Source organism: Homo sapiens, chromosome 3, assembly GCF_000001405.40.
Source record: "Homo sapiens chromosome 3, GRCh38.p14 Primary Assembly".
NCBI classification, from domain to species: domain Eukaryota; kingdom Metazoa; phylum Chordata; class Mammalia; order Primates; family Hominidae; genus Homo; species Homo sapiens.
Genome location: NC_000003.12, coordinates 8,001,298 through 8,021,158, shown reverse-complemented (window position 1 = coordinate 8,021,158; position 19,861 = coordinate 8,001,298). Strand labels below are relative to the sequence as shown.

General features: G+C 40.5%; 1 long non-coding RNA gene across 1 annotated transcript in view, besides 1 other annotated feature; it reads left to right on the top strand.

Annotated features, from left to right (window-relative positions):
* Positions 470-971: an enhancer, noted in NCBI's record as "H3K4me1 hESC enhancer chr3:8061875-8062376 (GRCh37/hg19 assembly coordinates)". NCBI's record gives its function as "activates a minimal SCP1, AML or CMV promoter by ChIP-STARR-seq in naive H9 embryonic stem cells {active_cell/tissue: H9 hESC(naive)}" and the evidence as "EXISTENCE:reporter gene assay evidence [ECO:0000049][PMID:30033119]".
* Positions 4,852-19,861, top strand: part of LOC101927394 (uncharacterized) — a 63,503-nt gene continuing 48,493 nt past the window's right edge. Inside the window, exon 1 of the long non-coding RNA NR_110131.1 lies at positions 4,852-5,282. This is a non-coding gene — a long non-coding RNA (uncharacterized LOC101927394). The remainder of the gene's footprint in view (positions 5,283-19,861) is intronic.

The following is a 19,861-nucleotide window of genomic DNA, read 5'->3' as shown; positions in this document are numbered from 1 at the left end:
GCCTATAATAGCAGGACTCTCGCTCTCCTGAAAGTCCCTGTTTTGCTTTTTTTCCTTTTTGCCCAATAAATTCCATTTTTCTTACCTTCAAAGTGTCTGCGAGCCTAATATTTCATCGTCATGTGACAAGGACCCTGTTTTTAGCTGAACTAAGGAGAATGTCCAACAACAACTTTGGTGCCCAATGTGGGGATTGAGAAGGGGTGAATGAAATGAGGACTCAAAACCTCTCACTGTTGCCTCTAAGCATTTTGGTCTTAAGGCATTCTTCTTTTCTTTTTTCGGGACAGTAATGACACTTATTTTTTCTTTTACAATACTGGAGGAGGTTCACACCCACCCCAACAGCCACAGGCATGTGCAAGGGATGGTTGGGTGGGGCAGCTCCCTGTTCCCTCCTCCTTCTTCCCTACTGGCTGGGGTGCATGGCCGTGTCTGTCACATGTGTGCACAGTGTACAATGGCCACACAGGGCAGGAATGAGCCACAGCAGCTGCCTGGCCTCAAGGCACCCCATACAGCTGGCTGGCATTCCCTGCCACATACCCGTGGAGTTTCCCCATCCCCCAGCCAGGGAGGCCTGCTCTGTCCCACAGCAATTAAGCTTTTCTCTCTGGTGGAGGAACTAGTTGCATAAGAGGTTTTTACCCCAGGCATCCTTTTTTCATCTCCACCCCATCAGCAGTTAACTTTTAAACGTTTTTGTTCCTTTTGGAAGAAGTTATACTAGGCTAGGAATGATAAGGATTACTGTTTATATTCTCTGTAAATTTTTAATTGTGAAAAAGCATTTACAGGGCTGGTCTTAAGCTGTAGCCAATCTTATGTGCTTTGCATATCTGTATGGTTTGTAGCAGACTTCATTGCAGGCCTCCGTCTTGTTTTACCTCTCAGTGGTGTGGCCTGTGACCCCGTGGCAAGGCTTTGTTTAGCAATTCTGCCTTAGGGAATGAGTCCTTTCTCATTTAATATCTGCATGTTTTCCTAGCCCTGTCTCTTAACGGCCTCCACCTAGGGACTGGGTTTTCCCGTCTGTGTATGTATATATGTGTTATGTGTATGATGTCTGTAAAAAGAGCTCTAATTAATTTGGCCTAATGGGAGATAAGCACTTGGATCAAATATATTTTAAAAGGAAGACAAAAGTTGTGGTACCTTTCAGTTCACATGACTTTAATCTTTGAGATATAAAAACAGCCTTAAAAATTATTGGTAAAATGCAGATACCATCAAAATGTAAATAAGTGGACTAAATTATGCAGGTCAGATGCAAGGTTTGGCAAGTGTGTTAAAGTTATATTCTGCCTTTTAAGTTTTGAGAACTATTTAACTTGCCTGTCCCACAATTGATAAGGCCTGGGGACCATATGGAACTAATTACACCCTTAATTATGCTGGAAGGAGTCAAACCTTGCTGCATTTAACACTCAATTAAAACAACTTACCAGGTTTTACATTAAAGTTAAAAATTGCTAAAATTTACCGTTATAACATGTAATTGAAACTACTGGAAATAGATTTACATGCGAGGTCTGTGAGAACAGTAAAATGTATTTTTTAGTAAAAGGTTATAAGAAGGCATGGAAATGTAAATATTTGCCTAGGGTTTTAAATTGTTTTAAATTAGATAAGATAAAGCTGAAGGTTCAAACAAGTGGTGAAAGGTTTCTAAAAATTAAGCTTGCAAAAGAAATTCTGTGTGTGAACATTGAGTGGAAATCAAAAGGTTATTACATAGTTTTTTTGTAAATTGAGTATTGAAATAAAAACACGACAAGGTTTTCTTACGGCACTAATCTGCTCTTTAGCAAAATTTGTAAAGGGTTATAAAAGGTTTATAAGAATCTTGCCTCATGGTCAAATTGGTTAAGGTTACATAGAATTGTCTATAAGGTTTCATTTAACAATTGGGTTTGACAATAGTAGTAAGGGTGAAATTTTGGATTTCTCTCCTTTATACAAGATTTTCATGTAATAGTAAAGGATAGTGAAAGATTTTCATTTGCCTTAAGAATAGACTGCCAAGGCAAAGGAAGAGAAGATAGGAGATGAATTGTTTGGAAAGCTAAGTCTTCTCTCTTAATGAGTAAAGATTTTTGCTTCTTTGAAATTCTGAATCATCATTTGGCAAAATAAATAATTTATGGCACTGTGGAATTCTATTTCATAACATCAAGTGTTTTAATCCTCTAACATATGTAACAGGCTTCCCCAAATCAATCTTCAGTTTCAAAATTTTCTTTCTTGACACCTGGATTTTCAGAGGCTCCAGAAGAGCCCCTGGATTGTCCAGAAAAGAGAGGTAAACAGTATTAGTTGACATGTTTAGGTACATGGGATTGCCAAAATGGTGTTCAATCCTCTTTAGGTTATATTTTGGTGAATAATACTAATATGTGTTTCAAAATTGTATAGCATTTAAAAAATTCTAATGTCTAATAATGTGCTATCAATCATAGTTTAGGTTGTTAAGTTATTGAAAACCACGGAGATAACCAAACTTCTTTATCAATTGTGTTTCTAACTGTGTCTACCCTGGACATTTTGCTATTCACAGACATTTTATTCCTTGTTTTAATCCTTTTTAAAGGATGGTTTATGATAAGCTACAGAACTTTGACAGGTGTTCTCAAATACAAGTTTCTGATAACTTTGGAGATTGTAACATTAGAATAAAGGAAAAATGTACAGGACTCAAGAAGAGCTGATATGTTCATGAATATCAAGCAAAACAAAAACTAAATGTATTGAACTCAGAAAACTGAAATAATCTTTCTAACTTTTTCTTGGAATATTGCTGATCCTTGTTTTGTTCTCAGAGTCATGGAAACATATTTTGAACTATTTACAGCCTTTAATAACTAAGTAAGTTATACTCCTATGAACAAAATTTGGAGCATGTTTATTTCTCTCTGCCTGGTTCCTCTAGAATTTGGAAACTATCTGTGAGTATTCTTAACTTATGACCATATAGTTCTTTGCATCAGTGCAATAAGAATCCATTTTTGTTTTGCAACAGGACACAATTGGAGAAACTGGTTATTTTACCAAGGCTTTGACTGGAAGGGTATGCTTCCCTTTAAGGAGTCAAGCTCAAATTGCAGAGCCAATAAAAGGCCCTTGGGGAAAAACAAATTGGCCTCATACTCTTGCCTATGCAGTCCTTGTACAGGGTTCCTGACCTGTGGTAAATACAGAATATCACTTTCTAACAGACCTAGGTGCTCCAAGTTCATCTTGGGACATTAAGAGGAGAGGCTCACCCAACTCACAGGTATTTGAGGATAAAAACACATCACTGGGCTCAGCTTTAAAAGGTTTCATCAGGCTGGGCGCAGTGGCTCACACCTGTAATCCCAGCACTTTGGGAGTCCAAGGTGGTGGATCGCGAGGTCAGGAGATCAAGACCATCTTGGCTAACACAGTGAAACCCTGTCTCTACTAAAAAATACAAAAAATTAGCCAGGCATGGTGGTGGGCACCTGTAGTCCCAGCTACTTGGGAGGCTGAGGCAGGAGAATGGCATGAACCCAGGAGGTGGAGCTTGCAGTGAGCCAAGATTGCGCCACTGTACTCCAGCCTGGGTGACAGAGCGAGACTCGGTCTCAAAAAAAAAAAAAAAAAAAAGAGGTTTTATCTGTGATTCCTTACAGCACAAAGTTCCATCAAAGCCAATCCAAAAGGCTTATGTAGAAATAGTTATTCTGGCTGCATTTTCCGCAAATAATCAGGCCAAGTATAAGAATAAAATCTATTTTTCAAACAACTCAGTCTTATCATGACTTTTTTTTTTATAAAAATGAGGACTGGAGAGATTGAAATTATGTTTCAAATCTCAACATAAGTTTGTCATTAAATTCTAAACTCATTAGTTTTTTACATTTTTGCCTACATTTTTATACTAACCCTGTTTGTTCCTGTGACCCAACCAGCAATCTCTCACTACAGCTCAGAAAGAAAAAGAAGAATGGGTAATGTGAAAATCTGGATCAATATTCTAGTTCTGAGCAATTATCCTGCAAATCCTGCCAGGCGATGGGAATAAATAAGATGCCCATCACTTGGAGGAATCCTTTTGGAAAAGTAAGACCAAGGGAGCTAACAAAAGCCAAACACAATGCACCTAAATCCTAGCAAGCATAACTATAGCTACCAGTTATCTTTATGTGTCACAAGACATCCTTTTCTCTCCCTTGTTGGAGGAGGACTCAGTTCCACAGTTTCACCTTAGCATTTGGCTATGATAAGGAGTTCATACAACCCCACCCCTTGAGACATATTTTTGTCCCAAACTCAATTCCAAGCTTCCAGTCAAAGCCCTAGGAAAGAAAACTGGATCTGAAGGATCCAGAGGCAGACAATGATGAACGTTAAAAGGCACAGCCCAGGTGAGTATGGCTATTCCTGCCAATTAAGCCAAGCTTCCCATTTCACGGATAAAGGCCATGCTAGTATCCATGGGCATAAATGAGGTATAGGTAATTCAAGGCTACTGACAGCAGGGTAGACAGGGTGTATGTGGGTAAGAGTGAATAATTCCCACCTCCCTCCCTGCCCTGTTAACATGGGTGAAAGCCATTTTAACACCCATGGTGGCACTTGCCAAGGTTGCCAGGACTTGGGGATGTAAGGACAGAAGAGGGAAACAGATGCTCTTCCTTCTCTCCCTCAGGTACCCTGGGTATCTGCTAGAAGAGGAAGGGAATCAGAGATGCCTGCTCTCCTCTTTCTAGAAGGGTAGCCATTCATCTTCAGTCTGTACCCCTTTCAAATGCATCCTGAAGCCCTGGGACTCCTTTGAAAAAAATTCCTTCTTTTTTCCTTCTCTCCTTCTCTGTCTTCTCTTCACAGATAGGTAATTATGTCTTCATACTATGGGACACTTCCCTCAGATGCATCCTCTAAACTGGAAAGAGTTAATTTCCCAAAGCTTAAACTGGTTGGCTTAGGATTGGGCTCAGGGGAAGAGAACCCAGAAACTCAACATGCTGACAAAAGGGTGAAGTTTTTTACCAGTCGGATTTTTGGCCTCCCTCTCTCTGTGAAAAACAGTAAAAGGTCTCAGTATTTTTAAATTTTCCTCACCCCTCCCAGTGTTTCATTTTGATACGTTTTCTAATAACCCAGTGTGTCTTTTCTTGCCTTCAAGCCATCAAACTCCAAACGGTCATGCAACTGGAGCCTCCGGCGATGGTCCCTTTTGCCAGGGACCCTGAGATAGGCCTCCGAGGGAGCTCTGACTGCCATTTCCCCAAAACAGCCCCCACTATCAGCAGGAAACAGTTAAGGATCAGTCTTCATCCTTATTCTTATACTTATTCTAATGGCAGTTAGATGTACTTCTTTATAGGAGGGAATGAGACAGCCAGGTGGATGGGGTCCCCAGAGAAACTTCAACCAACATGCACAGTGGGAGGAATGCACACTGTGGTGGAGCCACAGAAGTCCACCCCATTTGCAGAGGGGAGGAGCCTGGCTCCTCCTCTTCCTGGTTGGTATCTGGGATTCAATCTGTAAAGCAGGAAGCCTATACTAGTAAAACTCTTGCTCTGCTGAGAGTCCCTGTTTCCCATTTTTTTTCCTTTTTGCCCAACAAATTCCATTTTTTTCACCCTTCAAAGTATCTGCGAGCCTAATATTTCATGGTTGTGTGACAAGGACCCCATTTTTAGCTGAACTAAGGAGAAAGTCCTACAACAATTGAATGAATATACTAAAAGTCATTGAATTGTACACTGTAGATGCATTTTATAGTATGTAAATTATATCTCACTAAATATAGATACATATTTGATGATATATGTGTGTGTTTTCTCTATATAACTATTATATATGATAAATCATATATATGTATATGTGTATGTGTGTGTATATATACGTGTGTGTGTATATATATATACAAACACATGCACACACACACACACACACGTACATCTATATAATAAAGTAAAACAAGTTTGGGATGACCTCAGAGTCCTATTTCATTGGAGACTATAGTGTTAAAATAAATATGTTATGTTGTGCCTGCCTTGTTTGCTGTGAAATCCTAATCTTTGTGGGCCCAACTGAACCAAGAAAACTGAGAGTTGCCTTGCATGCCCTGAAACCACAGGGTCAGAAAAATATAAGACTAGTGGGGGCTTCAGTTTCTCTGTGGTAAAATGAAGATTGTTCCATTTGCAACCACTAGGTTGGAATGAAGATCACTGTTACGTTAAATAATAATACCAGTAGTATAGCAATTATTCATATTCTGTCATAGACTAGACAACGCCATTTAATCCGTGATTAATTCATATGGTTGTAACCATAATTGTTTAATTGCACAGTGCACACAGCAATTCAATATGCCAAGACACCAGGTTGCAGCAGAGAAAGATTTAATTGTAGGGTCACCTAACAAGGAGATGAGAACAAACTTTAAATCTATCTCTCTAAGGAATTTGGACTTCGGGTTTTTAAGGTTTAGAATGGGCCAAAACATGGACATTATTGATTGGTCAAAGAGTACAGGGTCATGGAACCTGGAGATGAAAAAGCCATATTCTCATGCTGATCCTGTTCCTCTGTGGAAGGTCTTCAAATTGGTTGCTGGAATAAAAGATCTGCAAAACATCTTAAGGGATCCTTAAGCAAAAGCCTTTCTAGTGTGAGAGATCCTGTGTATAGAAACAATGGAGATGCAAATCAACTCTTAAATAGTTTTTGACCCCAATGTCAAAAATCCTATCTGTAGGAATGATGCGTATGCACATGTTCAGAATCTAGTGCTAAGTGACCTTTAGCAACAAGGAAGGGATGAGGCCAAAGTGCAGCCTTATTAATGCTTAATTATAACGATATTTCTGTTCAAAACCCAGTATGCAATTCTTGTCAACCCTTTGGAGGTGGTTTCATGATAATCCTATAAAATATGTATTATCCTTGTTTTACACATTCAGAAACTCGGGCACAATGAGGTAGAAAGACTTGCCCAAGAGAAGATCATGGGGATGTCTGGGGAGGACAGTCTGTCAGGAAGCCCCATGTTACCTACCTCCTGGTATTCACACCCCATGTAATCTCCTCTCCAGAAGTGTGTACAGACCTGTGACTTGCTTCTAAGCAACAGAATGCTGAGAAGGTGATGAAATGTAAATTCCATGATGATTTTATGTAAGATTATAATGCTTATGATCTGAGAGACCAAAATACACACCCCTTTATCAACTAGGATAGACCCTAAGGTTACAGAATCAAAAATTACCTACAGATAGAGGGTTTAGGGCTTGGTTGGCATGAATGGCAACTTCCTAAATTCCTAGAGCTGCAAAAGAATCACACTTGCTAAACTTCCTAACAATGGAGCTATCAGACTCTTCTAACTCTGGTTTACAACCCAGATCACTAAAACTCTGATTAGAAGGAGGACTGGCCTTACAAACACTCTTTCCTGATACGCAACTGTAGACCTCAAGCCAGTTTCAGCAGAGACTGCAGAAACTGTCTTTGTATCGTAGACTTTACCTTTTGATGTAAAGAGCCAAATTCTGTCTCATCTTAATGCTAAAACCCTGCCCCAGTGTGAACATGGGAATGTACGTTACATGTATGTTTACCATCATGCATGTGTTCGATCCCTCTCATAAATACGTATAACTTTTCCTCAAACCTGCTAAATACATATGACTCTATTATGTAATACAGACCCTGTAAGGCATAATAACGTCAGTCTCTGGTAAACTCCAGAGACTGTCTCTTTCAGGTTTGTAAACTGATATCACAGATGAAGCTCTCCCTTCTGAGAGACAGGATTAGCTGGATTTCCTAGGCCAACTAAGAATCCCTAAGCCTAGCTGAGAAGGTAGCTGCATCCACCTTTAAACACGGGGCTTGCAACTTAGCTCACACCCGACTAATCAGGTAGTAAAGAGAGCTCACTAAAATGCTAATTAGGCAAAAACAGGAGGTAAAAAAATAGCCAATCATCTATCCCCTGAGAGCACAGCGGGAGGGACAATGATCGGGATATAAACCCAGGCATTGGAGCCAGCAATGGTTACCCTCTTTGGTCCCCTCCCTTTGTATGGCAGCTCTGTTTTCACTCTATTTCACTCTATTAAATCTTGCAACTGCACTCTTTTCTGGTCTGTGTTTGTTATGGCTTGAGTTGAGCTTTCGCTCGCCATCCACCACTGCTGTTTGCTGCCGTCGTAGACCCGCGGCTGACTTCCATCCCTCTGGATGGAAGTGACACCTGAAGGGTGTCCGCTGTGCTTCTGAGCCAGCAAGGCACCCACTGCTGCTCCCAATAGGGCTAAAGGCTTGCCATTGTTCCTGCATGGCTAAGTACCCGGGTTCATCCTAATCGAGATGAACACTAGTCACTGGGTTCCACGGTTCTCTTCTGTGACCCAAGGCTTCTAATAGAGCTATAACACTCACTGCATGGCCCAAGATTCCATTCCTTGGAATCCATGAGGCCAAGAACCCCAGGTTAGAGAAAAGGAGGCTTGCCACCATCTTAGAAGCGGCCTGCCACTATCTTGGGAGCTCTGGGAGCAAGGACCCCTGGTAACACTTCTACTATTCAGCCATCCTGGTGATCTTTTGGATAACATACTCTTCTTGGGAGCTGATTCTTTTCCTTGATGGCTATGATGTAGCAAGTGGCAATGTTGGGTAGGTTCACATGGCAAAAAACTTAGGAAAGGAACTTAGGGAGGCAGTCTCCAGCCAACAGTTAGCCAAAAAAAAAAAAAAAAAAAAAAAAAAGAAAGAAAGAAAGAAAAAGCCCCTCAGTCCTACTGTAAATACCCAATGGGTTCACCTTGCCCACTGCCTAGACAGAGCTGATTTATCAAGACAGGGAAATTGCAATAGAGAAAGAATAATTTATGAAGAGCTGGCTGTGCAGGAGACAGGAGTTTTATTATTACTCAAATCAGTCTCCCTGAAAACTCAGGGATCAGAGTTTTCAAGGATAATTTGGTGGGTAGCGGGGCCAGTGAATTGGGAGTGCTGATTGGTTGGCTCTGGGATGAAATCATAGGGAGTTGAAGCTGTTCTTTTATGCTGAGTCAGTTCCTGGGTGGGGGCCACACAACTGGTTGGCAGGTCCAGGTGAGGCCATCCAGTTGTTAGAAATGCAAAAATTTGAAAAGACATCTCAAAAGGCCCACTTTAGGTCCACAACAGTGATGTTACCTTTAAGAATAATTGGCAAAGTTGCAAATGTTATGACCTCCGGAATAACGGCTGGTAATATTTAGAATTCCAGCTCCTCTCATTCTAACTTGGTGGCTGGAGGCCTTTCATTAATTTTACAATTAACAGTTTAGCTTTTGGGAAGGGCTATTATTTAAACTATAAACTAAATTCCTTCCCAAGCCTAGTTCGGCCTACATCCAGGAATGGACAAGGACAGTTTAGAGGTTAGAAGCAAGGTGAAGTTGGTTAGGTCTGATATCTTTCACTGTTATAATTTCTTAGTTATCATGTTTGCAAAGGCGGTTTCACTATAACCACAAGGAACTGAATTCAGCAAACCTCCACATGAGGCTGGAAGTGGATCCTTTCCCAGTTGAGTCTTGAGATGAGGCTATAGCCCTGGCTAATACATGGCTTGCAGTCTGAGACCTTAAAGCGGAGAACTCAGCTAATCCATGCCCAGACTCCTGATCCAGAGAGACTGAGAAAATAAATCTGTGTTATTTTAAGCCATTAAGCACATGTAGAAACCAAAAATAAAATTCTAAGGCCCCCCAGCCCTCTGAATGGACTTCCTCCTCAGCCAGTCCTCTTAAAATTTAACCTGAGAGTCTGTTTCAGGCCATGATGGAAAGTGGGGGCTGAACATGCCTCATTATACCTCTTCAGCATTAACATCAACACAGACTTTAAGTCTGATAAGAAACATTTTGCAACCTATTCTCCCTGAAGCCTGCTAGCTAAAAGCTTTGTTTGCATGATTAAACTTTGGTCTCCACAGCCTCTTATCTTAACCTAGACATTCCTTTCTGTTTGATACCAGATCTTTAGAGAAATTCAGCCGTCAACCAGAAAATGCTTAAATTTACCTTTAGCCTGGAAACCCCCACCCCGCCCACCACCCCACTTTGGGTTGTCCCGGCTTTCTGGACCAAACCAATGTATTTCTCAAATTGATTGATTTATGTCTCATGTCTCCCTAAGATATGTAAAACCAAGCTGCACACCAACACCTTGGGCACATGTTCTCTGGACCTCCCGAGGGCTGAGTCATGGACCATGGTCACTGATATTTGGCTCAGAATAAATTTTTTCAAATATTTTACAGTTTCACTCTTCGTTGACACATGGTAGTTAGTTATTCAACAACACTAAACTAATACATGCGCCTCATGAGAACCAGGGCTTCCAGAGTCTACAGCTGCATTGCACATAAAATAACCACTGGCCACATGTGGCTACTGTAATTGCAAAATTGTATTTTATTTCAATTTACTTAAATTTTACTAACATGTAAATAAAAATTTACCGTCTTCCTTGTGCTAGCTACATTTTAAGTGCTCAATAGTCATGAGTGGCTAGCATCCTCAGAATGGAATACAGTCAATTCTCATTATTCATGATAGTTATATTCTATAGTCTCCATGAGCACTGCATTAGTGAATACTGAACATTCCCTCCTAGCAGAAATACTGAGTTAGGTTCCTGTGAGCCTATGGTCATAACGTTTTCATCAAGCATTCATTATATAACCTTGTGTTATGTATTTCTGTTTAAAACACCTTATTTTATATATATATGTGTATATATATACATATATATATGTATATATATACATATATATATGTATATATATACATATATATATATACATATATATATATACATATATATATATATAATTGATTCATTGACATTGAACTCATGGCCAACAGCCCTATAACTCATGCCTGGATGAATCTGATCTAATCCACTTATTTTCTCCATAAGGCACAACACAGCTTTCTTGTGCTTAGGAACATTAGACAGTACTTTATCACTACACTTGGGCACTATTTAAATAGTGAAATCACCAAAAAAGAGTGCAAAAATATGAACAACATGGCACTAAAGAGACCTAAAATCAGATAGAGTATGAGAGCTGAAAACAAGAAGACAGGATGAGGTCTTGTTCGATCTCAGCTTGGAATGTACATATCTGGTAACTCACATTTTTCACTCAAATTCATCCATGAATGATCACAAAAGCCCTGTGAGTATTGACTTTGGAGAAATAAATTTTAGCGATTGGGCAAATTTGCAAATTTGGAATCCATAAATAATGAGGATGGATGGTATTTCCATCTTTGCACAAATTTCTATTGGATATATTGGTCTAGGGAATCCAGTAGATTTTTCTTACTTTTATTATCTAACCTTGTAAAGACAGCCAGCCAACCCAAGGCCTTGGGAAAAAATAGAGTAAAAATGACATGCATAGGGAAAGGAGCTGCTCCTCAACCCAAACCCGATCTACTTGCACATAATAATGGAATGACAAAATTTCTTATTTCATAAACTCATTTATCTTCAGAAGCCAATATTATTTCTAAGACCTTAGAAAACTGTTGGACTTTGCCAGGAGTTTTGGCAAGATAAGCTTTCTTTCTTCCCTGATGTATTTAGCTTCAGCTTTTTACTCACCTTTCATAATTGCATTGTAACTTCCTAAGAAGTTTTGCTTAAAGTCTTTTTTTTTTAAGTTTCATGAAGATAATAAGCCATATTATTCAAGTTCAGCATTTGTGTAATGTTTTAACTCTAGACAATTTGTCCTCAAACTTGTAGGCACATCACCATGTTCAGATGAGTAAAATGCAGGTGCCTAGGTCTCTTCCTCAAGTACTATGATTCAGTGGGTTTTTGGGAAGTCTTAGAATATACATTCTAACAAGCTTGCCAAATGGCTGTGATGTAGGAGGTCCTGGTACCAAATTCTGAAAAAACATCATTGCTGACATGCAGAGGAATCCTCAGAGGCAGGACCCACATAAATAATGGCTTACAAGTAGCTTAAGAAAATAGTTTGTAAAATATACCCAAAATGTAGAAAATAGTTTAAAACCTAGACACAAAGGACTGTGATTTTACTGAGCTTCCAGATCAATAAGAACCTAGATTGTATTTTCAAGTGTTGAAATTTTGGAATTATGTTAATGGTCCCTAGATGACAGCACAAAATCTTACCAATTGAAACTTCTTTGGGAATCCATCATATATGCTCCCAAGGGATGCCTCATATGCCTGTGTGAGTCCTTGAGAATGGCATTGAGGGTCTGAGCAAGTTTGTAGCTCAACGGTACATTCTGGGATCTCAGAAAGTGTCTGTCTCTTCCTTACCCCTGCTATAGAATATATCTCCAGTGCTTTGTTCTGTAGTTGGTCTGAATATGCATTCATTAAAAATGTGTTGAATTCGACCAAATCTTCCTTTCCCTGTTCTCCTTCCTGTGGTCAGGTCATTAAGCAGTAAATTAATCAGAACAACCCAAATTCGTGAGGAGAAAACATAAATAAATTATTCAGATAACCTGAGAGAAGTGTGTGGGTTGCCTGCATTCTCAAAATTACTTCCCCAATCACCATTTTATTTAGCATGTGTTAGATAAGGCTTAATCTAACAAACTTTCAATAGCATTTTTATAAGAAACAATCCTGTCTTTGATTCTGAGTTCATGGAGACTATACAGTGGTAAGGTCATTCTCTTTGACAGTTCTAATGCAGGAAAATCTTTTATTGGTGTTAGACACATGTACTAATTGAACTATTTCTTCTGACCTTGATTACAAACCCCACGATGCCCCAAATAGATTTGCTTTTGAAACTACTTTGACAAGGTTTACAAATCAATTTCCCTCACAGAGATTGGTTGGGCTTTTGTGTGGAAAGAGGTTTTCTTTCTTTTCTTTTTTTCTTTTTTTTTTTTGCTCATTTTGTTCCTTCCTGGCATCAATCTGAACAGCATCCTGAGAACAATGCTGCACCTAATTTGCTTCTGCAAATGAGAGCAATTAAAATAACTCGACAAAAATGATGAAGGCTCTCGGATGATTTAAAGGCCAAGAATGAGGTACGATGACTGTTTATTCCTTTATCATCTGGCTTGCCAGCAGCCCAGGAGTTCAGGTGTTAAGTGCTTCCAGCCTAGTTTTGACTTGCATGGTCCAGCTCCTTACTGAGATGCACAGCTGTTGGTCTGAGCTTTAGTACTGAAGGAACATGGGCCAGGCACTGCCAGGTCATCTTTATCCAAAAATATATGCAGCCAAACTGCAGGGATCTGCTTCTGAACTGGTATTCCCAGTTTAGGAGTGTGTGTGTGTGTGTGTGTGTGTGTGTGTGTGTGTGTGTGTTCCCAACTGCCTCTTGGTACAGAGACAGCATGCGTACTAGAAAGAGCTACTTGAATAGATGGGACACATAGTTTGATATATCTGGATTCTAATCAAATATTGATCACTTATCTTTGGGTTCTTAGGGCTCTATTAACCTGTAACAACCTATTTCCTTAGATATGACACTGATCTTCATGAGCGTTTGACCTGTGCCATTCTCCTCTCTACCTCACCTTGTCCCACTCCGTGAGTTACTCTCCTTGCTGTGGCTTTAGTTTAGCACCTCCAATAAGTCAAGTTCTTTTCTACATCAAGACATTTGTCCATGTTATTCCTCTTACTTACAACCCGCCTCCCACCACCCCCACCTCACCTAACACCCCACCTAACTGAAGTCTCAGCTTAAATGCCACTTACCTACACAGGTCTTTTTTGACACCTCACCCAAGCCAAAATTAAGTTTACTCTCATTGCGTATTCATCAATAGGTTCCTTGTATTATATGGTGGTGGCACTCATTACAGTTTGTAAACAAATATACATATATAGTAGTCACCCACATTCTTTATCATATCTTCCTTTCTCCTTGTCTTCATTTTTTTCATGGTGCTTATTAATTTGTTACATTTTATATTGCAGTTAATTGTAGGTTACTCTTTACCAGAATATATGTTTTATGAATGTAGGGACCTTGACTGTTTTATTCACAACTGCATTTCCTGTGCTGGGTACAAAGGCCCTGGCATGAAGGCAGAGCTCAAAACACATGTGTAGGTTGGATGGATGATTGGGTTAATAGTGGGTAATTATCCACTTAGCAACGTAGTTCTGAAGATCAGAGATGATGCATAAAAATACCTAATGCAGTGAAATGCACTTGTAGCACTCAAATAAAAGGTGCTTATCATTACTGACATTAATAAAGAGGCATGTAACAAAGAAGACCGGAAGCATTTCTTCTAAACAACCGCATATTTCTGGAGTGTGAACACATCTAGTATAATATGCTATACCATCTACATGAATAGTTCAGCAAAATTTATGCCACAACCCTTCATCTGTGCCACCTCCCTCCTCAAGGTTCATACCTGCTCTAACACCTTGAACAAAGCAAAGTTTGTCAGGCAGCCATACCGTTTCATTCCCCTGGGGCTTTGGATTCCCCTGCCTGAAATAGCCCACATGAGGTAAGCTGAGGCAATATATAAAATGATTTTGGCCTTTATTTCACCCCACAATTAAGGACATACCAATTATATTAGGTTGGTGCAAAAGTAATTGTGGGGTGTGCCATTGCTTTCAATGGCAAAAACCACAATTACTTTTGCACTAAACTAATAGGAGAGTTTCAGAGCATCTCCACTTCTAGTCAAGGCCAACTGAAACACAGCCACATCAAACTCTTGATAAATTCTTGGCAGCTTTTACTGATAACAACACGTTACTTTTATCTTTTTCTCCTTAATTTTTAGAGCCATCCTCAATTAAGCTTGTGAAAAGTCTCTGTATTAAAGTGTTAGAATTGTCTACAATCTTTAATCTCTCTAAAATGCCAAATCATAACTTATTTTTTCTCTCTTTTTTAATGTTTCTAAATTGAAAATATATAGAAAGGATAAACCAGGGAAATATTGTGAAATACAGTGTACACAATGGGGGCTTTCATGTTTGAGCTGGGGTAAATAAGAGAAAAGTCATTAAATGGGACTTTAGTTTTGATAATGGAAATATTACTTTCTCCATTGGCCATATTTTTTCTTACTACATTAGCAGCACCTTGGCAACTAAGCATCACAAGATTTAAGATTTCTCTTGCAGAAGGAAACTGAGATCCAGAATAATTAAGTGGTTAGTTATCAAAAGCATTTCCATCCCTGGTTCCTACCAAGGGCTTCTCTTTAAATGAAATTTTTGGCCGGGCATGGTGGCTCACTCCTGTAATCCCAGCACTTTGGGATGCTGAGGCGGGTGGATCACCTGAGGTCAGGAGTTCAAGACCAGCCTGGCCAACAGGGTAAAACCCCATCTCTACTAAAATTACAAAAATTAGCTGGATGTGGTGGCAGGTGCCTGTAATCCCAGCTACTTGGGAGGCTGAGGCAGGAGAATCACTTGAACCCAGGAGGCAGAGGTTGCAGTGAGCTGAAATCGCGCCATTGCACTCCAGCCTGGAGGACAAGAGCAAGACTCCATCTAAAAAAAAAAAAAAAAGAAAAAAGAAAACAAAATTGTCTTCATGGTGCAGTTTTTAAGTGGTAGCTAGACACAATGCTAGTGGGATGTCATGCTGTGGCTTGCTGAAGCAGGATAGCAATTCAAATGCCCACAAGAATTAGGCTGGGGATGAGTCTGAGTGATGCTGACCATGTTAAGGTAAAGGTTCATTTTCCACTTAACTCTATTACAATAAAAAAAGAGAACGTCCATTCAATGACAAATAGCAATGGACAACTGACATCAAGACTCAGGGAAAATAGGGAGTGATAGAGACTCTGGCTAATTGGAACAGCAAGCCTAATCTGAAGCAGGCAACTATTAAGCTCCAGCCAATTGTCTCAAGAAGATGAGCCTTATGTTTTCAAATCTACATGTGCTTTGAAATCAGCCAGAAATCTAGATTTTTGCATGAGATTTCCCAATTTCAATTATTGCTTTCAATTAATTATGGTTAATTACAGTGTGCTTATTTGTAAATATCTTGAGTACTTTGAATGCTTCTGAGTCATGAAATCTTGCTCATTTTCTCTGTCATTTAGTATAATCAGATGTTGAGTCCAGAATTTCCAGCGTGCATGGTGGCAGTGAGTTCTTTTAGAAGAGGCTAACTGCACATCATGAGAGCCAAGTGAAGTGCATTGTTCACTTGAGTGAAGGCTGTGTGGATAGCTGCTCAGAAGTGATTCCAGCCTAACTTATTCCATGCACCCCTCAAACATCCTTTCCCACCCCCTTGGGATCTTGGACTTTTACTGAGATTCCCATCTCAGAAGGTGATGTCATTCCTGAAATGTGGTGCTCACCTGCTCCCAAACCATAACTTGGATGTGCATGTAGCCTCAACCCCCAATTCTTTAAGAATCTTCATCACTAGGGTTCTGGTGGTTATGCCAATGGGTCTGACTTTGCACTATTTCCATTCTTGGTCTTGCGCATTTTGTGGGCCCTATCAGTCCAGGAACACATATTTATTGGTTCCAGATAATATTCTTACATTCTTTGATAATTTTGTTTCTTCCTGATTTTTCTTCTCTTTCTAGGCCTCCTGTTAGTTGAACACTTCTTGGATGGATCCTCTCAATATTATATATTTTTTATTCCAAATTTTCATCTGTATGCCTATTTATTTTATTTTCTGAGAGATTTCACAATCTTTACCTTTACCCTTCCATTTTTTTTTTTTTTTTGAGACAGAGTCTCGCTTTGTTGCCCAGGGTGGAGTACAGTGGCGCAATCTCGGCTCACTACAACCTCTGCCTCCTGGGTTCAAGCAATTCTCCTGTCTCAGCCTCCCAAGCAGCTGGGACTACAGGTGCCGCCCACCATGCCCAGCTAATTTTTGTATTTTTCGTAGAGACGGGGTTTCACCATATCCGTCAGTCTGGTCTCGAACTCCTGACCTCAGGTGATTCACCCGCCTGGGCCTCCCGAAGTGCTGGGATTACAGGCGTGAGCCACCGCGCTGGGCCTAATTGTTTTTTTTTTAATTCTGATGATTATATTTTTAAAGAATTTCTTATTTTGTTGTTCCCTCTTAAAGACAGGATGATACTCTTTCATAAATCCAATACCATTTCTTCCCTCTAACATGCTAGTTATCTTTTAGGCTTCCCTACCACCCCGTTCTCATATTACCTTTCTGTCTTGTAAGTTCTCTTTTTTTTTTTTTTTTTTGAGACGAAGTCTCGCTCTGTCACCCAGGCTGGAGTGTAGTGGCGCTATCTCGGCTCACTGCAAGCTCTGCCTCCTGGGTTCACGCCTGTCTCCTGCCTCAGCCTCCCCAGTAGCTGGGACTACGGGCGCCTGCCATCACGCCTGGCTAATTTTTTGTATTTTTTTAGTAGAGACGGGTTTTCACCGTGTTAGCCAGGATGGTCTCGATCTCCTGACCTCGTGATCTGCCCACCTCGGCCTCCCAAAGTGCTGGGATTACAGGCTTGAGCCACTGCGCCCGGCCAGTTCTTTTTCTGTTTTATTGTCTGTTACTGTTTCCCAAATTGCAGGCTTCCTTTGAATGTCTAGCGGTGTTTTGTTGTCTGCCCATTTTCAGAGTGGGGCAGAAATCTGCATGAGAGTCCCATATATTCACGGGGAGCAGGGAGAGAGAACTCATTGAATGGTGGGCTTCTCTGTCGGATGATTAGGTAGGCAGGGGACTAGCTGCTTCATTAGGGGATCTTCCAAAGTCAGGGTCCCCACACAAGAGCTCCCAACCTTCTTGTCTTGGATGGTGGTGATGGGAGTGAGGGAGTGAATCTGACCCTCAGTGCTCTCAAAGCTGAACTACAAAGTGTGGCTGAGTGGTCGAGTGTGGTGGCTCATGCCTGTAATCCCATCACTTTGGGAGGCCAAGGCTGGCAGATCACCTAAAGTCAGGAGTTCAAGACCAGACTGGCCAACATGGCGAAACCCCATCTCTACTAAAAATATAAAAATTAACCATGCGCAGTGGTGGACGCCTGTAATCCTAGCTACTCAGGGTGCTGAGGCAGGAGAATTGCTTGAGCCCTGGAGGCAGAGGTTGCAGTGAGCCTACATCACGCCCCTGCACTCCAGCCTGGGTGACAGAGTGAGACTCCGTCTCAAAAAAGCAAACAAACAACAACAACAAATAAAATGTGGCTGAGTCTGTCATCATTCAATAGGTCTTTACTTAAACTGTTTGTGCTCAGTACTGTGCCTCTTCCTAGGTTTCCACGGAGCTTGCATGTCACAGTTTAGAACATGTCTGATTCAATTCCTCCACATCCAAACAGAAACAAAATAGAGGCTGCCCATTGAAATCTGAATGTCAGATGGCCAAAGAATATTTTTAGCATAAATATGTCCCATGCAATTATTTATAATATGAAATTCAAATTTAATTGAACCTCCTGTATTTTATCTGGATCCAGGGAATGAGGGGAAGAGAAGGGTAGTTAGCTGGCTGCATCGGTGCGGAAAGTGTCAGGGATCTGGAGGAGTCTGTGGTTCCTTCTACCAACTTTCAACCAATCCCTCGTTGGCCCAGCTTTTCACCCCAACCCTCATAGCACACGGTGCAGGCAAATCTTCTGCCCCTTCTGGAATTCTGCAAGGGAGCTTGGCTTCCTCTCATTGGCATGGCCCTCTGTGAACTTTCAGCATTCAGATTTCTCTGTGCTGTTATCATGTTTTATTTCATCTAAGATGCAATCGATTATAGAATACATTATTCATTATCTAATAAATAATTTAGAAGGAAAAATGCTGCCAATTACAACTGTAAGATACCACCAATTGTAAGAGCCATTCTGATTTCAGAAACATTAAAATGTTAAAAAGATGCATGTTTTAGAACTGATGAAATACGCCAATTCCTCCATTGTCTCCCACTCTTGCCAAAATAAATTAACATCCCTTATTTACTATTATCTCTTATTTCATCTTTGTTGCCCTTTCAGATTCTTCTCTTTTTCAGAAAGTCTATATTTTTTTCTCATTTTAGAGGAATCTCAGGGGATAGTAGAGTTTTATGCATGTGGTTATTCTTCTTTCTCTACTGTTTAATTGAATGGAAATTTTAGATCATTCTGTGGTTTGGTATAAGGAGGGATGAGCTCTGGTGACATGTTTCCTTCTATTCCTACCAGACATGTGGCAGCACTGTGGAGAGTACAGCATGCCAAGATTGCCCGCCCGGGCCTGCTCCAGCCTCAGTCAGCCACTGCCAAGACCCCGCCAGATAACACAGCTCTGGCCACAGCTGATACAGCCTAGAGAATAATTTACTCCCACCCCTCTGTGCTGAGTCGCTGTAACTATTTCAGGCAGAACAGAACCTATGAGGTGTGAGCAGATCATTTTAAAGGGCGGACGTCAGGTGATGAGCCCCCATGCCAAGCCACACAGCAGGGATGGCAGGGGCAATTTATCTTGCTCTATTCTTTATGTACGTCTCCCAAAATCTCAGCTTTTGGAGTTCTCTTTTTATCCTTGCAACTCATCTCTTCCATCCTGCTTGGGGTTTCTCTTATTTTTCTTTCCCTGAGTTGGACTTTTGTTTTCTCTCTTTCATTCATTCAACTATGTACCCTGGGACTGTTCTTGGCACTGGGAAGACAGCAGTGACCAAAACAGGCAACAATCACCACTCACAGGGAGCTTGTATTCAGGAGTGACAGGGAGACAGAGAATAAAAGGGTAAAGTATATGATATGTTAAAAGTGATCAGTGCTGTGGGAAAAAAGAGCCTTCAAGGAGAGTGGGCAGGTCAGGAGGCAGGGGATTCCTATTTTAAACAGGGTGGTCTGGGAAATTCTCATCAAGTGGAGACCTTTGA